This window comes from Homo sapiens, chromosome 7 (genome assembly GCF_000001405.40).
Source record: "Homo sapiens chromosome 7, GRCh38.p14 Primary Assembly".
In the NCBI taxonomy this organism is placed as follows: Eukaryota; Metazoa; Chordata; class Mammalia; order Primates; family Hominidae; genus Homo; species Homo sapiens.
The window spans coordinates 144,109,374-144,132,424 of NC_000007.14; the positions used below are offsets into that span (position 1 = coordinate 144,109,374).

Genomic DNA, 23,051 nt, shown 5'->3' on the forward strand with positions numbered 1-23,051 from the left:
GTTGGTAGAAGAGGATTTTTTTAATTTCATGAGCATAATTGAGTTGGTTCCAGTAACATATTTGAAAACAAATTCAACAAAGAATCCATTCAAAATAATACATTTCTTAATGCTCCCTCTGAAACACTCAGCAAATATTGTGCATCTTTGACCCACAGCTCTGACCTTCCTGTCCTAGATGAGGGTTTGTCTTTCTCTGCCACAAGAGCATGGAAGGCAACCAGACATGGATCACAGACATCACCCTGCTGGGATTCCAGGTTGGTCCAGCACTGGCGATTCTCCTCTGTGGACTCTTCTCTGTCTTCTATACACTCACCCTGCTGGGGAATGGGGTCATCTTTGGGATTATCTGCCTGGACTCTAAGCTTCACACACCCATGTACTTCTTCCTCTCACACCTGGCCATCATTGACATGTCCTATGCTTCCAACAATGTTCCCAAGATGTTGGCAAACCTAATGAACCAGAAAAGAACCATCTCCTTTGTTCCATGCATAATGCAGACTTTTTTGTATTTGGCTTTTGCTGTTACAGAGTGCCTGATTTTGGTGGTGATGTCCTATGATAGGTATGTGGCCATCTGCCACCCTTTCCAGTACACTGTCATCATGAGCTGGAGAGTGTGCACGATCCTGGTTCTCACGTCCTGGTCATGTGGGTTTGCCCTGTCCCTGGTACATGAAATTCTCCTTCTAAGGTTGCCCTTCTGTGGGCCCCGGGATGTGAACCACCTCTTCTGTGAAATTCTGTCTGTCCTCAAGCTGGCCTGTGCTGACACCTGGGTTAACCAAGTGGTCATATTTGCTACCTGTGTGTTTGTCTTAGTCGGGCCTCTTTCCTTGATTCTGGTCTCCTACATGCACATCCTCGGGGCCATCCTGAAGATCCAGACAAAGGAGGGCCGCATAAAGGCCTTCTCCACCTGCTCCTCCCACCTGTGTGTGGTTGGACTATTCTTTGGCATAGCCATGGTGGTTTACATGGTCCCAGACTCTAATCAACGAGAGGAGCAGGAGAAAATGCTGTCCCTGTTTCACAGTGTCTTTAATCCAATGCTGAACCCCCTGATCTACAGCCTGAGGAATGCTCAGTTGAAGGGCGCCCTCCACAGAGCACTCCAGAGGAAGAGGTCCATGAGAACGGTGTATGGGCTTTGCCTTTAAAACATGTGGTTTGCTGAAGCAAGAATTTTGAATATATTTTGTAGAAGAAGTTTAATATAAAAATGGTGAGTGATTGAATTCAAGCTTTGAAAATAGGGCAATATTCAATGGAATGTATGTTCTCTAAAATCGAGGAATCATCTCAGTAGATAGGAGAGCAAAATTATCAGAATATTTAGCCTTTCCTTTAAAAGTGTTAGAACATCTTTTTGCTTTTATTTTTATTTATTTACTTTTTATGTCACAGTGCCATTTTATATAATTTCCTGAAATAGGCAAAATGAAACTCTGATGTTAAAGGAGATAACAGCATTGTTTCATAATAGCTAAAACCTGAAAAGAATCCAAATATCTATCAACAGGGAGAAGTTGAGTAACTTGTATATTCACACAGCAGAATACTAAGTAACAAAGAAAATGAATGAACCTCAACATACAGTAACATGGATGAATATTACAAACACAAAATCTGGAGTGATACAGATCTGGAGTGATACAAAATCTGGAGTGATAGAAGCCAGACACAAAAGGATGTATGATTCCACGCGTACATAAATTTCAAACATAGGCAATAACTAAACTATAACGTTAAAGCTAGGATATTAGACATCATTAGGATGAAGGGAGTAGATAGTGACTGGGAGGGGTAGGAAGGCAGCTGGGTAATGGCCATTTACTGATAATCCCTTGCACTATACATTTATGCTTTGTGTACATTTCTCTTGTGTACATTTTAAAAATAATTTCTACATTTATTTTAGATTCAGGTTGTACATGTGCAGGTTTGTTACATGGGTGTATTGTGTGATGATGAGGTCTGTGGTACAGATGATCCCTCCCCCAGGTACTAGGCATAGTACCCAATAGGTTTTTTTTCGGTCCACACCCCCTTCCTCCTTACACTCTCTAGTAGTCCCCAGTGTCTACTTTTCCCATCTTTATGTCCATATGTACTCAAAGTTTAGCTCCCAGTTATAAATGAGAACATGTGGTATTTGGTTTTCTGTTCCAGTATTAATTTGCTTAGGATAATGGCTTCCATTTGCATACATATTGCTGCAAAGGACATAATTTCATGTTCATTGGCTATGTAGTATTCCACGGTGTATATGTACCACATTTTCTTTATCCAGTCTACTTCTGATGGCCACCTAGGTTGATTCCATGCCTTTGTTATTGTGAATAGCACTGTGATGAACATACACGTGTATGTGTTTCTTTGATAGAAATATTTCTTTTCCTTTGGGTATATACCCTGTAATGGGATTGTTGAGTTGAATGGTAGTTCTATTTTTAGTTCTTTAAGAAACCTCCAAACCTCTTTCTGCAATGACTGAACTAGTTTACATTTTCACCAGCAGTGTATAAGTGTTTCCTTTTATCTGCAGCCTTGCCAACATCTGTTATGTTTTGACTTTTTAGTAATAGCCATTCTGACTGATTTACGATAGAATGTCATTGTGGTTTTGATTTGCATTTATCTGATTATTAGTGAAGATGAGCATTTTTTCATGTTTGTTGGCTGCTTGTATGTCTTCTTTTGTAAAGTGTTTGTTTATATTCTTTGCCCATTTTTAATGGGGTTGTTTTTTGTTTGTTGATTTGTTTGTTTCTTATAGATTCTGAATATTAGACCTTGTTGGATGCATAGTTTGCAAATTTTTTCTCACATTCTTTAGACTGTCTATTTATTCTGTTGATAGTTTCTTTCGCTGTGCAGAATCTCTTTAGTTTAATTACATCCCATTTGTCAATTTTGGTTTTTTACAATGGCTTTTGGGGACCTTGCCAACAATTCTTTGTCAATGCTGATGTCAAGTAGGGTATTTTCTAGATTTTCTTCTAGAATTTTTATAGGTGTGATTTTACATTTAAGTCTTTAATCCATCTTGAGTCATTTTTTATATATGGTGAAAGTAGGGGGTCCAGTTTCACTCTTCTGCATATGGCTAGCCAGTTATCCCAGCACCATTTGTCAAATAGGAAGTCCTTTCCCCATTGCTTATTTTTGTTGACTTTGTCAAAGACCAGTGGTTTTAGGTGTGCAGCTTTATTTCTGGGTTTTCTATTCCGTTCCGTTGGTCTGTATGTCTGTACAACATCTTGTATCCCTTGATGAAATAATTTAGGAGTAAAAGGGAATAAGATACGGAAAGCTTTAGATCAATACTAAACTGTGTAAAAAACCCTAAAATATATTAAAGCTTTAGGATTTGGTAAAATGAAGAAAATCCATGAGTAAATATTCAAATGGCCCAGGAGACAACAATGGTTTTGAGCATTATTCAAACTTTACACTTACTCTTGGGTGATGCTAATTACTGAAAAGGCAAGATTTAATCACCTGTTGAAGCTCTTGAAATTTTTTTCATCAATACTTTTTAATGTTTGAACCAACTTGTATGTAGATGGTGACACCAAACATCCCAACACAGCTTTGTTATAACCAACATCATTTATCTTTCATGGTGGCAAAAGATCTCCTAGATTCATGAGATCGGATTGAAATGTTGTGTTTATGATGCTGATGGTGATAAAATAAATAATGAATACTCTTTGTGTAGTTGTTAGCTAAGGCAGTATATTAATAAATCAGTTTTACAAGTATTATCTTTATTTAGGATTTTAAAAACTGTGATTTCCTTTGGATGTACAATACTGTCAAGTTATTAATTTCTTTTTCAATTATTATTAGGGTGTCTGACACAGTTGGTAAATTTTTATATTTTTATAACACACTAAAACTATGATCTACCAAAAAGTCAAATTTTTACTAAAGGTGTAAATATTTAAACTTTTAGCAAGGAGACATGGTTGTTTCAAAGCTATCAGGTTAACCATTTCAGCAGATTAATATTGGAAAAAGAGGTAATTTCTACATATATATTTAACATTTATGGCATATACAATGCAAAGGATACATTGATTATTTTTAAGTATACAAGTGATAATAAAGAATGACATGTCAGGGTTAACTAACAGAATGTACCTCAAACTAAAGGAGGAGTCATTTAGAATTTGAACAAGTTATAGACAATCACGAGGTTCACCTTGATCAGAAGAAGAAAGCAGGTAAATGAAGTGGGTTAGAGCAATATTTAACAGTAAATATGGGGGGCAGATAGTCAAGCTTTGATAGGCATTAGTATAGTTGGCCAAGGTCAGTTATTTTTATGAATATTAGGACTTTTACCACATGAGGGCCCTTTTAGACAGAGCTTGCCAAGGCTTTCATCAGTTTGGGTAAGATTACTATGGAAATGAAGTGTAGAATGTCATACAGAAGGTCGTGAACTATGGTAAGTAAACAATGTCTTGTGATGAATTCATAGTTGTTTGTAGGCATATCTATAGCACATTGTTTTTCATGTACAAACCATGAGAAAAGTTTAGCTTATTTTTTAATGCTCTTCTCCAGGATTTGCTGTAATGTATGATAAGAAAGGAGAAGCCTATTCAACACTTGGATCTCAGCTATGGGCTACTCAGCTCAGAAAGAAGTTGCATTAATCAAATATGGGACATACCAAACAGGACTATTTTTATCATTTTTTAATAAAAAGAAGGAACAAATCATCATGGATACTTAGTAATATATGGAAAACCCTAAATATAATTTAAGTGTAGAAGCCATGAAAAGAGTTTTATTACTTGAAACCTAGGAGTCATATTAGGAAAGAAAAATGAAAGAAAGAAGAAAGAAAGAGAGAAAGAAAGAAAAAAGAAAGAAAGAAAGAAAGGGAAGGAGAGAGAAGTTGTTAGATAAAAATCAGTTATCATATTGAAATTAGGTCATATTTTTAGGTGTTGAAAGACAACAAAGTCTTCAGCCTTGCTGTAGAATAACAATATTTAATCACCAGTAAGATGTTTTTAAAATTTTGTTATGAGAAACTCTTTTAAATACAAAAGTCTGTCAAGAGCATACAGTATATAAAATGTCAATCTATTGTTGAACTATTACATTTCTTCTTTATATTATTAGTAGGCATTTCATCTACTAAGCTTGATAACATGTGATACATAACACATGCTACAACATCAATGAACCTGAACGACATTATGCTAATAAAATAATCCAGTCACAGAAGAACAAGTACTGCATGATTCTACTTATAAGAGTTATCTGAAAATAGTCAAATTCATAAAAACGGCATAGATTCTTGTTGCCAGGGACAGAGGGCAAGGGGAGACATGAAGTTGCTATTGAATGAATATGCATTTTCAGTAATGCAACATGAGTAAGTTCCAGAGATCTGGTGTACAACATTACGCCCTATAGTTGATCATACTACATAGTGCAATTAAAAACTTCTTAAGAGAGTAGAACTCATGTTAAAGCCTCTTGACAAAATAATAAATAAATAGATGATAAATAAACAGATAGATAAATAAGAAATCCTAACCTATGTCATTCAGGAAAGATTAGGGACTTGGTTGGGATACATTCCTTTATAATTTATTTTAATTGAGAACTTCTGGAAATATGATGCCTTAATACAGGGGAATAAATCTCAGTCACTCTGAAAGCCCAAAGGATAAGATGCTGTGGGGAGAGAAATGTATTTTATTGACACCTTTCAAGTCATGAAAACAACTTTACCTAATTATACAGCTTATAATATACACTGAAATAAAATACTCTTACATTTCTCCATGCTTAGTATTATTCATTTGTAATTATCCCACCTGTGTATCACAAAACATAAACTTTACAATCCAAGTCATTTAAGTACTGTGTGCTTCTAAGTAACTCAGAGTGTGATGAACTTGAACTGTAATTTAAATAAAAAATAATTTTAAGATAAAATGTTTTGTATTAGCTAAAATCAACATTAAGAAGGAAAAACAAAATATTAGTAAGTCAAATTTCGCAAAATAAAGTAGTAGCAGATTATGATTAAGTTGTTTTTATCCCCAGAAAGTAGGAAATATTTAACATGAAAGCAAATAATGAATATAATTTGTCACATTAATAAATTAAAGGATGCATATAATATGGCCATCTCGGTAGATCGAGAAAAGTATTTAACAAAATTCAACGCCAAGTCATGATAAAACTTTTTATAACTTATATGGCAGTAAGCCTTCTTAAAGATAACCTACAAAAAAAAAAAAAAAAACACCAAACAAACAAAAAACGCAGCAGATAGCCTACTGAATGGTGAAATGCTAGCATCTTTCCATTTAATATAAAGGACAAGGTAAGGATGCACATCATTGTCACTTTTTTTCCTTTTTCTCAGTTTCTTACTAAAGATTCCTACCAGTACAATTAGGCAAAAGGAATAAATAGACACCCATGCGTGTGCGCGCACACACACACACACACACACACACATTTGAGAAAGAAGAAACAAACTGTAATTAACGCAAAGGACACAATTGTCAGATATGCAGAAAATCTAAAATAATCTTCTAACATATTATTAAAATTATATGAAAAGTTAAGGTAGCTTGTTACAAAATTGATATGAAAATCTATTATATTTTTGAAAAGCAAAAACAATTAAAATAAAATTTTACAAAATTCATACAAGGATGTACCAAGAAACAAACTGAATAGAATATAAATTATGGAAGTAGATTTATGCCTCTTTTAGCTCTTGCTAAACTACAGGTAGCACAGCATGATCAATCATTGGAGAAGGAAGGACTTTGCAGTAAATGGGGCTGGGACAATTGAGTCTCCCTAAAAATACTCAAAGCCTGCAAAATCACTCAATTCCTGTGTATTCAAGACCTTTGAATATTCAAGACCTATTTCAAAGACACAAATATAATGTTTTTATGACATATCTAAGGGAAGATTTTTAAAAATAATGCACAAAGTTGCTTTTGTAAAATAATATACCAAGTTGAAAAATCTTCAGATTGCATTAAAAGCAAATATTGATAAATTGGACTAGATTGGAATACTGTTGACAAGTTATGAAATAGATTTATTTTTGTTTCATTTTGCTTTTAGAAATCAGGGATTCATCGTTTCATAAGCTTGAAGTTTACAATCAGAAGGTATTTTTTCATATTTAAATTACATCACTGTACTTCCTTTATTACATGTTTTAAGACAAATGGTAGCTAGGAATGCCCAAATCTTTTTGTGAGAAGATGGCAAACCAATATTTGAAAGCAAATGGCACAGAGCATTTTATCCATGGAATATTATGCACCAGGGAGCTGGGAGACACTGAGAGAATGTTTATGTACAGGTATATGAAGGCTAGAAATGGGTGTGTTGATTTAAAATTGGCTGAAGAGAAACAAGAAAGGGAGAAGAAAATCATAACACATACTGTTACACAACAATTTATTTCAGGGTAAGAAAAGAAGCTTGATAGATGTAAAATGTTCTGAGATGACAAATTAAGATAACTCAGTCTCTGAATATTGGAGTAATTCTCAGCTTTAGAACTTTCCTGCCCTATTAGGGTATGTGATTCCCCTCTTTACACGGAAAAAGTTTCTCCACTATAAGAACTCCAACTTGTCCTGAGGCTTAGTTATTTATAATCTTTCCTTGTGATTCCCTATGCAAAATTATTATCAGCTATCAGATGAGGGTCAAGAATTACATTACCTAGTAATCCACGATGAGATAAGAGTGACTTTCTGAATGTATAATTAAAACTAGAATGATTTTAACATAAAGGTATAAACAGCTTCTAGTAAATTGGCTGTAAAGTTTTAAAGTAAATAACTAAAAATCTAAGTCCCTGATATGTCCAGCACTGAAAAAGCTAATCTGTACCAGATGTCTCTGTGCTTGTTTTTATTGGATTGCTAATGTTATTATTGAATTATATTGGAGCAAGCATGGGTATTTATAGTCCATAAGCCATTATGTCATATATTTTATAAGTTATCAAGAGAAAAGCCTCACTCTAGAATGACTCCAAAGTGACCACTGGGTCTTGTTCTTAAAACACATCTAATCATATGGTATGGTCCCTGAGGCCCTACCCGGTGAAGGTCTCTGACTTTGAATCGGCTGGACCTAGACTAGCTCATAGATCTAGAACAAGTATTGGCAGTCTAGTGTCCTTGGGCCCCTTTGATCAGTCATTGTTTTTGCAAAGAAAATTTTACTAAAACACAGCCACACCCATTCATTTACACATTGTCTATGACTGCTTTTGCCAGAGTTGACCTTTTACGATGAAGAAGATGGTCCTCAAAGTCTTATATATTTTTCTGTGGACTTTTACAGGAAAAAGTCACTAACTATTGACCCAGAGAATATATAATGTGCTCTAACATATTAATTCAATGGGTACAAACTTTACTAGTATTGGCTGTTTCCCAATTATTGGAGTTAGATTTCAAATCATTTCAATAACAAATAATCCATTAAAAATTTTAGACAGTTGAGGGGATATAAAATGCTACCTGATGGTGACTGTAATTTACATTTTCTTGCTGACTAATGGTGAAGAGCAGCATTTTACATGTTTATTGACCACTTGTATTTCTTTGGAGAAGTTTCTATTCAAGCGCTTTGCTCATTTTATAAAATTTGTTTGTCTTTTAATATTAATTTGAAAGAGTTCTTTCAATATATTGTCTTTAGTTTCTTTGCTAGATAAAGAACAGTGAATTTTATCACTTTCTGCCTGCATTTCTTGTTTCTTAATGGGGACTTTGATAATCACAGTGATTAATTTCAAAGATTTTCAATGTTAATGAATTATTCAAATTTTACTTCTATGGATTATTGTGTCTTTTCTACAAATATATTTCTACTTAATTAATGAAAATATTCTTCTATTTTCCTCTCAAGAGTTTAAGATTTCAGTTTATATGTTTAAGTCAATAAATAGTTAATTTTAAGGTGGCATTTATCCTAGCAGAAAACAAAAAAGCCAACTTACACATTTTGTACGGAGCAGGGCCCTCTCCTCGTGGTGCCCTTTGAGATGTCTTACATCAGCCTCTCCTTCCTCAGTGCCCTCTTCTGGGCACTCTTGACCTCTGCATTCCTCAAGCTGTAGATCAGAGGGTTCAGCACCTGATTCCAAAGGCTGCAAAACAGGGAAAGGACCTTCTGCTGCTCCTCGGGATGGCGGGACTTGGGGGCCATGTACATGACAATGGCGTTGCCAAAGAAGAACTCCACCACACAGAGGTGGGAGGAGCAGGTAGAGAAGGCCTTTCTGCGGCCCTCGCCAGACTGGATCCTCAGGATGGCCGCCAGGATGCCCAAGTAAGAGACCAGCACCAGGCAGAGTGACCCTACCAGGATGAACATGCAGGCTGCAAAGATGACCACCTGGTTGAGCCAGGTGTCAGCACAGGCCAACTTGAGGACAGACAGGATTTCACAGTAGTGGTTGATTTCATGAGCCCACTGAAGGGCAGCCTCAGAATGAGAACTAAATGGACCAGAGCCAGGAGGAAGCTGAACACCCAGGAAGCCACAGCCAGGACAGTGCACTCTCTCCAGCTCATGAGGACATTGTAACGTAAGGGGTGGCAGATGGCCACATAGCGATCATAGGACAAAACCACCAAAATCAGACACTCTATGTGAGCAAAAGCCAAATACAAGAATGTCTGCATTATGCATGGAAAAAAGCACATGGTGCTTTTCTAGTTCGCAAGATCCACCAGCATCTTGGGAACATTGTTGGAAGCATAGGACATGTCAATGACGGCCAGGTGTGAGAGGAAGAAGTATGAGAGTGTGCAGACTGTGGTCCAGACAGATGAGTTCCAAGGCTATTCCAAGGGAGAAGCTCCAAAAGAGGAGCACTTCCATCTCAGCACTGAGCTGGAATCCCACCAGGATGAATTCTGTGACCATTGATTGGTGACATCCCATTTCTTTTTTTTTTTTTTTTAATTATTATTACACTTTAAGTTTTAGGGTACATGTGCACAATGTGCAGGATAGTTACATATGTATACATGTGCCATGCTGGTGTGCTGCACCCATTAACTTGTCATTTAGCATTAGGTATATCTCCTAATGCTATCCCTCCCCCCTCCCCCCACCCCACAACAGGCCCCAGAGTGTGCTGTTCCCCTTCCTGTGTCCATGTGTTCTCATTGTTCAATTCCCACCTATGAGTGAGAATATGCGGTGTTTGGTTTTTTGTCCTTGCGATAGTTTACTGAGAATGATGATTTCCAATTTCATCCATGTCCCTACAAAGGACATGAGCTCATCATTTTTTATGGCTGCATAGTATTCCATGGTGTATATGTACCACATTTTCTTAAACCACTCTATCATTGTTGGACATTTGGGTTGGTTCCAAGTCTTTGCTGTTGTGAATAGTGCCTCAATAAACATACGTGTGCATGTGTCTTTATAGCAGCATGATTTATAGTCGTTTGGGTATATACCCAGTAATGGGATGGCTGGGTCAAATGGTATTTCTAGTTCTAGATCCCTGAGGAATCGCCACACTGACTTCCACAAGGGTTGAACTAGTTTACAGTCCCACCAACAGTGTAAAAGTGTTCCTATTTCTCCACATCCTCTCCAGCACCTGTTGTTTCCTGACTTTTTAATGATTGCCATTCTAACTGGTGTGAGATGGTATCTCATTGTGGTTTTGATTTGCATTTCTCTGATGGCCAGTGATGATGAGCATTTTTTCATGTGTCTTTTGGCTGCATAAATGTCTTCTTTTGAGAAGTGTCTGTTCATGTCCTTTGCCCACTTTTTGATGGGGTTGTTTGTTTTTTTCTTGTAAATTTGTTTGAGTTCATTGTAGATTCTGGATATTAGCCCTTTGTCAGATGAGTAGGTTGCGAAAATTTTCTCCCATTTTGTCGGTTGCCTGTTCACTCTGATGGTAGTTTCTTTTGCTGTGCAGAAGCTCTTTAGTTTAATTAGATCCCATTTGTCAATTTTGGCTTTTGTTGCCATTGCTTTTAGTGTTTTAGACATGAAGTCCTTGCCCATGCCTATGTCCTGAATGGTAATGCCTAGGTTTTCTTCTAGGGTTTTTATGGCTTTAGCTCTAACATTTAAGTCTTGAATCCAACTTGAATTAATTTTTGTATAAGGTGTAAGGAAGGGATCAAGTTTCAGCTTTCTACATATGGCTAGCCAGTTTTCCCAGCACCATTTATTAAATAGGGAATCCTTTAACAGGATCTGAAATTGTGGCAATAATCAACAGCTTACCAACCAAAAAGAGTCCAGGACCAGATGGATTCACAGCCGAATTCTACCAGAGGTATAAGGAGAAACTGGTACCATTCCTTCTGAAACTATTCCAATCAATAGGAAAAGAGGGAATCCTCCCTAACTCATTTTATGAGGCCAGCATCATCCTGATACCAAAGCTGGGCGGAGACACAACCAAAAAAGAGAATTTTAGACCAACATCCTTGATGAACATTTATGCAAAAATCCTCAATAAAATACTGGCAAACCGAATCCAGCAGCACATCAAAAAGCTTATCCACCATGATCAAGTGGGCTTCATCCCTGGGATGCAAGGCTGGTTCAATATATGCAAATCAATAAATGTAATCCAGCATATAAACAGAACCAAAGACAAAAACCACATGATTATCTCAATAGATGCAGAAAAGGCCTTTGACAAAATTCAACAACTCTTCATGCTAAAAACTCTCAATAAATTAGGTATTGATGGGACATATTTCAAAATAATAAGAGCTATCTATGACAAACCCACAGCCAATATCATACTGAATGGGCAAAAACTGGAAGCATTCCCTTTGAAAACGGGCACAAGACAGGGATGCCCTCTCTCACCACTCCTATTCAACATAGTGTTCAAAGTTCTGGCCAGGGCAATTAGGCAGGAGAAGGAAATAAAGGGTATTCAATTAGGAAAAGAGGAAGTCAAATTGTCCCTGTTTGCAGACGACATGATTGTATATCTAGAAAACCCCATTGTCTCAGCCCCAAATCTCCTTAAGCTGATAAGCAACTTCAGCAAAGTCTCAGGATACAAAATCAATGTACAAAAATCACAAGCTTTCTTATACACCAATAACAGACAAACAGAGAGCCAAATCATGAGAGCCATTCACAATTGCTTCAAAGAGAATAAAATACTTAGGAATCCAACTTACAAGGGATGTGAAGGACCTCTTCAAGGAGAACTACAAACCACTGCTCAATGAAATTAAAGAGGATACAAAGAAATGGAAGAACATTCCATGCTCATGGGTAGGAAGAATCAATATCGTGAAAATGGCCATACTGCCCAAGGTAATTTATAGATTCAATGCCATCCCCATCAAGCTACCAATGACTTTCTTCACAGAATCGGAAAAAAACTACTTTAAAGTTCATATGGAACCAAAAAAGAGCCCACCAAATGTTGGTGATCAAATTAATTTTCTGTGGTAACTTTTTAGAAAACGTTAATGATAAAAATACTGGGAGTAAAAAGCTATTTATGTACAACCTGAAAGCATGCTAAATGTAAATGTTATGTTCTATTTCACAAGGGAGACCAGTTTGGGTTGGATTGGTGAAGAGGGCTCCAAGAGTGCTTTGCAGAATCAGTATTAAGTATGAAGTCAAGTGGGTAGAACAGTTAAAATTGTCTTGAAATAAGGAATAAGAATTTCAAGACTGGGAGCTGCTAGGGGTAGTACTTGAATGAAGTAGAGTGTGTGCTTTGAAGAATAATGAGGTAAGTAGAGTAAGCCTCTATTGGTCACACAGATTATGTTAAAAGAAAAATAACTCCAATTATACTCCTCTTGGATATATCTTTTACTGTTCTCCATGATAGGTTAAATCTATTACTATTATTTTGAAGTGCTCCCTCCACCATAATTTAAGAATTAAACCTCTATTGAGATCTAGGTTAAGAAAAGACACTCAGAGGGTAAGAACTGGAAGGATTTTACAATCGTCAAACTTTATCACTTAGTGCAAAAAAAAAAAGGATAGAGAAAGAAAGAGTATGGCCATTTTATCTGTAGGCACTAACCCACAATAAGGAAATAAATATGTGGCTAAGAAATGCTTGAGATGGAAGGCACACTGAAGAAATTCAAGGAAGAAGATGAAGTATACCTGAACTACCAAGTCAATAATATTTGTGAGAAATTTGCAGTAGTTATTTTACAATGACGTTTTCTCCATTGAGAGAAAGCTATTTTTCTGAAGTGATGCTTTAACAGAATTCAGGGACCTCTAACCAGCAGAGACCAAGAGATCATTGGCTCTCCTCTAGGGAAACTAGGAATTAGAGAGTGGAACAATTTTAAGATTGATAGAATAAGTATTGAAAGAAATTAATTTAAGACATGATCTTGGTTTTTAAATCTTCTGTGCAAGAGTCTTGTCTTTTAACAGAAATCCTGTCCCTGTCCAATCCCAAGTAAACACACATAACACATCCCATGGGAATGCTGAAAGAACAAAATGAATAAACATGGGCAATGCCTTCACTGGTTTGCCTGCTAATAGGAAAGTAGCAAATATCTTTAATTGTCTCTGGAGAGATATGATTAGAAGTATTACCACTGGGTTCTGTTCTCTCAATTATTATTTTTCTCTGCAGGGAGTGAGTGTCTAGTCAAATGATGGTAGAAAAAGCCTGGCTTACACAACTAATTGTATCATAAAGTTCAGGAGAGCTTTGTATCTGGGCTTCACCTCCCAAGAAGGCCTCATTAGCGAGGAGAATCAATCCCAGTCTATCCATTCTGCCTTTCCTGTCTTTGAGGTTCCTAGCAAGCCCAAGGGTATGTTAGAAGAAAAGACCACAGATTATTGTACTGTAAGTAAATGTGGTGTATTTGCCTTGAGAAAGGGTTTACAGATGGAAATGGGAAAGGGGCAGTGAATGAAATCACTGGCTCCAGATAGTAGCGATGAAATGCCCGTGCTATGTGGTCTCCTTCTGCTTCTAAGTCTGTATTTATAGCTAGGGTCCTGAGGGGACCTCTAGGGGCCACCGTCTATCCCAGGATATGGCCATGTACCTCTGACCTTCTCGGCCCCTCCATCCATATCCCCTCATTACCCTGTGGCAGCTCCTGGCTTTGTCATCACTGTGCCATAGAAGAGGATCAGATAACCATCCCTATAGGGTATGATCTGGCTAAAGGGCTCCAATGATTGTCAGGGGCTATGCGGCTCAGGTGACTCTTTTTTACAAATAATGCTAATTTTAAAAACTGAAGTAGAGTTTGTAAGTGGTTTGCTTACCCAGGGATGTATCCTCCTTGCCCCTCTGCTAACTGCCTAGTCCTGCACATTCTCAGAAGCGTTGTGTCACCAGACAAGATCCCCTTCTCAGTTGTTCTGGATACAGGCACCATTCACTCACAGGGAAAAGCCAGTGCCTGTCAGGGTACAGGTTCTCTTTTTTTTTTCTGATTTTAGCAGAGGAACCATTGAGCACAGAACATGTCTCCTTATGATGACTGGATCCAGACATTCTCCTTAACGATGGTTCTCATATCCCTAATTATATATCTAAAAAACCTAAGTTCTTATGTGAGTTAATGCATTTAATCCTCACAACTATGTTATGAGACAGAATTTATTACCCCATTTTGTAGATTGGGAAACTGAGGCATGAAGAGGCACAGAGAAGTCATAAAGCTAGTATGCAGCAAAGCCAGGATCTGAACCCAGGCTGCAGGGCTCAGGAATCCATGCTTGTTCATTTGTTTTTAACACTAGGCTGCGGCCGGGTGCAGTGGCTCACGCCTGTAATCCCAACACTTTGGGAGGCCAAGGCAGGCAGATCACCTGAGGTCAGGAGTTTGAAACCAGCCTGACCAACACGGAGAAACCCCATCTCTAATAAAAATACAAAATTAGCCAGGCATGGTGGTGCATGCCTGTAATCCCAGCTACTTGGGGAGCTGAGGCAGGAGAATTGCTTGAACCTGGGAGGCGGAGGTTGCGGTGAGCCGAGATCTCACCATTGCACTCCAGCCTGGGCAACAAGAGCGAAACTCCGTCTCAAAAAAAAAAAAAAAAAAAACTAGGCTGCTCCCTAGGACTAAGCTCAGTGTCAAAGTATATTATTGGAGATGGCAAGTTATTTCTGAGTAATTGCAAAGATTTGACAAATCAGTGCTGCCTTACAACCCCACTGCTGGAGGCCCCAGGGCTCCCATTCTAAGACAATTTTCAATAGAAACTTTTCTTTTGTGTCAGTGCTAAACACCCTAAATACGCCCCCCTTTTCTTTCCAAAAAATTAATCCTCTCTCTATCATTGGGATATTTAGCATGGTGGGATTGACCTCTTACTATTACAGCCTGTATTTTTTTTTCTTCAGTAAGGGAGTGTGGTTACTTCAAAGGAGTCTTCCATTTCTTTAAATTGCTTTTTAATTTTAAAAATCAAAATATAGGAACATTTATATTAGGAAATCAAAGCAAAATGTGTGTCTTATATTTAAACTCAAAAACAGCCAAAAAGAAAAGCAAGATAAACGTGAAAGTGTTTGCAACACCATGATGATTGCACTGGATTTCCAATTCCTATGCTTTAATACTTCCCTCAATTTTACGATCTCTTTAATATCATTAGTAACAGCTGACATTTATTAAATTCCTATAATGTACCAGTGCGATGGTATTTCTTCTTCACATCAGTCCTTTTGGTATCTGTGGTCAACATTTTACATTTGACAATAATGAGCCTTAGAATACGTGACTCAAATGCGTCATGTTCATTGCTCAGAATCAAGACTGGAATAGTGTTCTGGCCAAGACTGTTACTCCTGTTGCTTTCATTCTTATTCAGAGACCATATTTTTTTCTGTCACTGCTAAATTTGCTTTGCTCTTTAAGAACAGAAAAATGTATCCATGCAGTTTTTTCCCTTACTCCATCCACTGAAGATTGTTCTGTAATGTGTAACTGGAGTGGATGCCTAAATAAATCTTCCTTTCAGATATCTGATTCTTTATTGAACTTCCACAGGCTTTTCTAAAAGAAAAGTCTGACTACTTGAACTGTGAAATCCAAAATACAAAAGGATGCCAATAAATAAAAGGAAAAAAACTATTTTCCTCTTATACTGTATATTTGTTTACTTAACTTCACAATTGAACAGATGGACAATTTTTGTGTGTAGGTAGCCACCATTATAGACTTTTCTCCTTGTGGCCTCTTGTACACAACTGTTAAAAGCACAGTTGATAACCAGAGTTTTATACAGTTTGGATGTAGTTCACGTCTGATTAAATTTCACTTTCACTAAGAATTCTATTTGTTTCTTTCTTTATTCCTGCTCTTTAGAAATAGTTTATTCTAGGCTGCTGGGGTTTTTTTCCCCGAAATTCCTTACTTTACAAAAATTACAAATAAAACTATAAACCCAGATTTGCTTAATTATGAATTTAGATTAACCAAACAATTGTATTTATTTGGTAATGACTGGATTTTTTTTTTACTCCTAAAGCATCCAAATGCCTGCTACCTAGGTCACTGGGCCTTGGAACAGTAGGAGCACAGATGTGTACACCACAGATGGGAGCCAGGAGGGACTAAAAATATGCAAAATATCCATGTGCTTGGAGGTCTCAGGGATAAAAGGCTTCTCCTTTTCAGCTTGATTCATTGGGACATTAACACAACATTTGCTGTGTCCAAAAATTGACAACTACCATTCTGGCATTAAAATTATATTGTGCAGAAAATTAAACAGTTTCCTATTTCAAATATGTGCTCATTGGAAGTTCTGTACATACATATCTTTTAACTGTATTCTGCTTTCATGAATCTAAAAGTAAATCAATTATTATAAAGTCAAAAGTATATCAGCTAAACTGATGAATTTTTTATGTCAATTTCAGATTGTTAAAAATATAAACAAGGTTACAAAGAATAAGTACAATCTCCTGCTCACTATGGTTCAGGTACATTGTGTTTCTTTCTTTCTCTTCCCAGAACTCACCAAGTGCATCTTGTTCAGAGACTTTGCGTTTACTGTTCCATTACTGTTCTCTGTGTAGAGAATGATCCTCTTTTGGCTCTGGGCAGGGTTGTGGCCTTCATGGTTTAGGTTCCACTCACCTGTCTCCTCTTAAGAGAGACCTTTTCCAACCATCCCATCTAAAGGAGACCCCCCTCAAATCAAGTAGCTTTCTATTATTTTACCTAGATTATTTCCTTCATTGTTCTTTTCATGGCCAGCAATTATCTTTACTTGTTTACTCCTGGTCTTTTACAGTGGTAATGAATCATGCCCTCTCTCTGTTCCAAGTCTGGAAAAAATGAGTTGAATAATACATGAAAGAATCGGATATAATTCAAAAAGGTATTTTATTAATAAAGTCTGTTGAAAAGCATGGTTTATATTTTCAACAAAGTTTCTCTCCAAATTAAAATCACAACCATTAGCTGACACCCCTTCCCCACCTCCAAATGGGACTGAACATGCTCCTGATACCTTAATCCCAAGCAGATAGAAATGCATGCAGGTGAAACAGAGAACAGAGAAAGGTCACCCTCAGTTTCTCTTTCCTGTTTCACAAATCATATAAATTAGGGGAAAGAGAGAGGCAGGTATACTCTAAAACAATTTTATCCAGGGGCATAGAGGTTTCCTTCCCTAAATAGAAATGTGAGGTGTGGAAGAGAAGCACATCACCTTAATATTACTTCTTTATAATCTGCCTCCCTTTCAGAATGTGTTTACATCATCCACAGCTGGGCCTCTAAAGCTTAGAACAGTGGCTGAAACAGATCATGCACTCAAGGATCATTCGTTAAGGGATATACAAAATACAAATATAAGTTACAGAACATTGTTTGCTTATGAAAGTAACAGAGATTGTAATTGGTAATGCCTAGTACTGACTATGTGGCAAAGAGACATGATTCTTACACACTGTGGGAGGGAATTGCAATTGGTCAGATTTTCTAGATGGAAGTTAAAATAGGGATAAAAACCTTAGAAATGTCTGTATATTTAGCATCTGCAATTTCACTTTTAGAATATGTTCTAATAAATAATTATGAATATAGGCAAATCTTAAGTTTAAGAGAAATGTATCTCAATGCCAATAAAAATAAGAAATAAACAAAAATTCAAACAGTAAGAAATTCAGTAAATTGTGACAGAATATTGTGCCCCTTTAAAATAATGTCCATAAAATATAATTTCGATACAGGAAAAGTATTATATTAAGTGAAAAATTGTAATGTTTAAATACTCTGTACAATACCCTATTTTAATATATAAATTTGAGGATCTACGTATTTACTAAAATAAAAGACATCAAAATTGTTTTTTTAAAAGTATCCTGTTGGATTTGAACCTTTAGCCTGATTTGAAAATAAAGATAGTCCTCAGGCTGTTTCTGGAATAAATGTGAAGTGTTAACAGAACAGCACCAGGTCACATGGTTTCTCCACCTGATGAGGCCATCCGTCCTGTTCATGGCCCTTGGTCGCCCCCTGCTGGCTGGATAGACCCAGACCCTCCAGGAAGAGCTCCTTAGAAAGAGCTCACCAGCTGGGGCTGCACCTGATCCCATCCCCATCACATGCTCAGATTCCATCTGAACAGCAACAGGGCTGCTGGCATGATCACAGGTGATGGAGAAGAATACAGTTAGGGGAACCGACAGCAACCCCAGTTGCCATAGCTGGGAATATATTGATGACAAAAGACTCTGTCACACTGGAAAGTAAGATAAGCTCTGAGAGATGTCAACATATTAAGTTATAATCGAGAAAAGAGTCCAATAAAATACAATTACGATACAGCGATCATCTTTAAATGTAACCACTTAATGTAAATTGGTTTTTCTTTTGAATTTCTTATTTAAAAGACCTCAGAAATGTCACCATGCTTAGTTATTTTAAAGATATATACATGTATTCATTGTATGTAGCCAAGAATTATTTCACTCATGCCTAATTTACAATAACAGATGCTGATGAAGAAGTAAGGAAAACTCTCAAAATAAAACTACAAACACCAGATATGGAAAAGAGGCACCTAAAGTTGCTGCTAGGGAGTACTGGCCAGCTTCTGAAAAGGAGCGTCTTATCTCAGAAAGCTTTAAAGAAACTACAAAATTGAAAGCTATTTAAAAGTGATTTCAAATCTGAAATAAGTGGGTAGAAAAGCCTGTGAGGAGGTGAGGGACAGTGAGCAAGCCCATGGCAAACAGAGGGTCCCCGTCCCTGCACATCTCAGACTGAGAAGGAAGCAGGATGAGCAAGTGAAACCACCTCATAATGCAACATTTGTCAAGGTCCTCTCTTCTCAAACTACGTAAAAATCAAGATTTCACACTGAAAGGGAAGCAAGGATACTTGAGTTCTTCAAAATAACACATGTGCGTGTGTATCCCCTTATGTAGGGTATATTATAATAGATCCTGTTTTGTTATATTTTATTAAATGTTATATACATGTACACATACACACACAAATATATATACACATATACATGTATGTATTCTTATTATTCCATTGATACAATGCGATTTTTTCTCATTTTTATGAGCACACTTGGTTAGTTTTGGCAACATATCTGAGAATAAATTCTAGAAAATTCATTCAAAGTTATAATTTCTAAGTGCTCCCTCTGTGCATCTTTGACTGGCCCACAGCTCTGACCTTCCTGTCCTAGATGTCCACAAGAGCATGGAAGGCAACAAGACATGGATCACAGACATCACCTTGCCGCGATTCCAGGTTGGTCCAGCACTGGAGATTCTCCTCTGTGGACTTTTCTCTGCCTTCTATACACTCACCCTGCTGGGGAATGGGGTCATCTTTGGGATTATCTGCCTGGACTGTAAGCTTCACACACCCATGTACTTCTTCCTCTCACACCTGGCCATTGTTGACATATCCTATGCTTCCAACTATGTCCCCAAGATGCTGACGAATCTTATGAACCAGGAAAGCACCATCTCCTTTTTTCCATGCATAATGCAGACATTCTTGTATTTGGCTTTTGCTCACGTAGAGTGTCTGATTTTGGTGGTGATGTCCTATGATCGCTATGCGGACATCTGCCACCCCTTACGTTACAATAGCCTCATGAGCTGGAGAGTGTGCACTGTCCTGGCTGTGGCTTCCTGGGTGTTCAGCTTCCTCCTGGCTCTGGTCCCTTTAGTTCTCATCCTGAGCCTGCCCTTCTGCGGGCCTCATGAAATCAACCACTTCTTCTGTGAAATCCTGTCTGTCCTCAAGTTGGCCTGTGCTGACACCTGGCTCAACCAGGTGGTCATCTTTGCAGCCTGCGTGTTCATCCTGGTGGGGCCACTCTGCCTGGTGCTGGTCTCCTACTTGCGCATCCTGGCCGCCATCTTGAGGATCCAGTCTGGGGAGGGCCGCAGAAAGGCCTTCTCCACCTGCTCCTCCCACCTTTGCGTGGTGGGACTCTTCTTTGGCAGCGCCATTGTCACGTACATGGCCCCCAAGTCCCGCCATCCTGAGGAGCAGCAGAAAGTTCTTTCCCTGTTTTACAGCCTTTTCAATCCAATGCTGAACCCCCTGATATATAGCCTAAGGAATGCAGAGGTCAAGGGCGCCCTGAGGAGGGCACTGAGGAAGGAGAGGCTGACGTGAGACATCTCAAAGGGAACCATGGGGAGGGAGCCTTGCTCCCTGCAAAATATAGAAGTTGGCTTTTTTTTTTTGTCTTCTGCTAGAATAAATGCTACCTTAAACTGGAATACTATAGACCTATACATATAAACTGAAGACACAAATCTTTTAGAAAAGATAGGTAAATGCATTTATAATACTGGATAGGCATAAATTCATAAAGAAGACACAAAAGTCCCTAGATATAAAATTTTTAAGTTCGATAAATATAGGACCTCTTCACATTAATCATTGTGCTCATCAAAGTCACCATTAAGAAAGAAGAAATGCAAGCCACAAACCAAGTGATCGTATGGAAACTACATGTACCCAGAAATGGAACTATTGTTCATACAGTACATAGAAAGAACTCCTTTAAATCAGCAATAAAAAATATAAACAACCAAATTTTATAAAATTAGCAAAACATGTGAACATATACTCTTACAGAAAATACAAGGGGCTGATAAACATACAAATGCTGCTTTCCACCATTAGTAAGCAAGGAATTGTAAATTAAAACCACCATGAGATACTATTATATACCCACTAAGATGTCTGAAATTTTTAATGGCTTATTTATCATTGAGGTTATTGGAAATCTATTTCTAATATTGGAAATGGTCGATACTAGCAGAGTTTGTGCCAATAGTAGCCAAGTCACATTGAGTTAACAGGAGCATAGTACACATCCTCAAGATCAATAATTAGTGACACTTCCTGTGAAGATACACAGGTTAATGCTTAAGGCTTTGAGGGCCATCTTCTGCGTCAAAACAACTCAACTCTGACAAAAGCAGCCATAGACAATGTGTAAACAAATGGGTGTGCCCGTGTTCCAATAAAACTTTATTTGTAAAAACAGGTGGCTGCTGGAATGGTGCCCAGGGACAGTAGTTTGTGAACCCTTGTTCTAGATCTTAAAACTAGCATAGTTCCAGCTGATCCCACTTTAGAGACCCTCACTGGGTGGGGCCTCAGGGAGCATGTGATTAGACATGTCTTGCAGTCAAATTCCTGTGATCACATTGTACTTACTTGAGAGTGAGACTTTTCCTCCTTTGACACTTTCTAAAATATGCCATGACTCAATAGCCAGTGGACTGTAAATATTCATGGTTTCTCCATCACACAGGAATTAAGAGCAGGCTCCTCATACTCCATCACTAATTTGAGCCTGAGATCTTAGGATAAAAGTTTGCAACTCAACATTCTAATTGGAGCACAGCAGTCCAGTGAAAACAAGCACAGAGATATCTTGTACAGATTAATTTTTAAGAGTGGATTTAACAAGATCGTAGATTTTTAATTGTTTTCTTTTATATTTAGCAACCATTTTATTAAAAGCATCTTATATCTTGATATTGAAAAAGTCCTAGTTTTAATTATATTTTGAGAGAGCCACTCTCATCTTAGCCTGGAATACCCAGAAATGTAACTCTTAACCCTAAGCTGATAGCTGATAATAATTTTGCCTGGAAGAGAACATAGAAGGAAAAATTACTAATATCAAAACCTCAGGATATGTTAGAGTTCTTTTTAGGATGGAGTCTTGCTCTGTCACCAGGCTGGAGTGCAGTGGCACGATCTTGGCTCACTGCAACCTCTGCCTCCCAGGTTCAAGTGATTCTCCTGCCTCAGCCTCCCGAATAGCTGGGATTACAGGTGCCCACCACCACACCCAGCTAATTTTTGTATTTTTACTAGAGACGGGGTTTCACCATGTTGGCCGAGATGGTCTCCATCTCCCGACCTCATGATCTGCCCGCCCCAGCCTCCCAAAGTGCTAGGATTACAAGCGTGAGCCACTGAGCCCGGCCTGGAGATCTTATGCTGTAGAAATCTTTACTATGTAAAGAAGGGAATCACTAGACTGATACGGCAGGGATTTCTAAAGCTGAACACTACTCTGATATTCAGAGCACAAGTTATCTTACTTTCACTAATCTCAGAAAGTATTAACCTATCTTGCTTCCTTTTTATTCCTGAAATGTAAAGTGTTGTATACTAATGTATTATTGTTTCCATTTTTTTTTCTTGGTGCTCCTCAGCCAATTTTAAAATCAACCTGCCCATTTCTAGCCCTCGCACAATAGCATACGATTTTCCTCTCAGTGTCTACCATCCATTATGACAAAATATTTCACTGATAGAATTCTCTGTGACATTTGATTTGACAACAAAAAGAATGGTGACTGTCCCACAAGATAAGAAAAGCTTTTAGGGGAAATAGATGCCTACCTAGGCATCCTGGGACAAGCTGAATTCACTTTAAGAGGGGGAGAAATGTTAACTAGAATAAGCAAAAAAGAGGGAATTCTCTTCCATGAGGAAGGCAAAGGAGTGAACTCAACATAGAAA

The 23,051-nt window shown here is 37.7% G+C and overlaps 2 protein-coding genes and 1 pseudogene across 2 annotated transcripts; 2 read left to right on the forward strand and 1 right to left on the reverse strand.

Annotated features, from left to right (window-relative positions):
* Positions 1–209: 209 nt before the first annotated feature.
* Positions 210–1,166, forward strand: OR2A2 (olfactory receptor family 2 subfamily A member 2). The gene has a single exon (NM_001005480.2). The coding sequence runs from the start codon at positions 210–212 to the stop codon at positions 1,164–1,166; it is 957 nt and encodes a 318-aa protein (NP_001005480.2).
* Positions 9,091–9,987, reverse strand: OR2A15P (olfactory receptor family 2 subfamily A member 15 pseudogene; annotated as a pseudogene).
* Positions 13,803–21,815, forward strand: OR2A14 (olfactory receptor family 2 subfamily A member 14). The gene is made up of 2 exons (NM_001001659.3): positions 13,803–13,891; positions 19,706–21,815. Exon 2 carries the CDS (start codon positions 19,740–19,742, stop codon positions 20,670–20,672), a length of 933 nt encoding a protein of 310 aa, NP_001001659.1. The 5' UTR covers positions 13,803–13,891; positions 19,706–19,739; the 3' UTR covers positions 20,673–21,815.
* Positions 21,816–23,051: the final 1,236 nt, after the last annotated feature.

Excerpts from the sequence above, each read along its gene's own strand:
- OR2A2 (NM_001005480.2), top strand. The coding sequence starts at position 210 with ATGGAAGGCAACCAGACATGGATCACAGACATCACCCTGCTGGGATTC.
- OR2A14 (NM_001001659.3), top strand. The coding sequence starts at position 19,740 with ATGGAAGGCAACAAGACATGGATCACAGACATCACCTTGCCGCGATTC.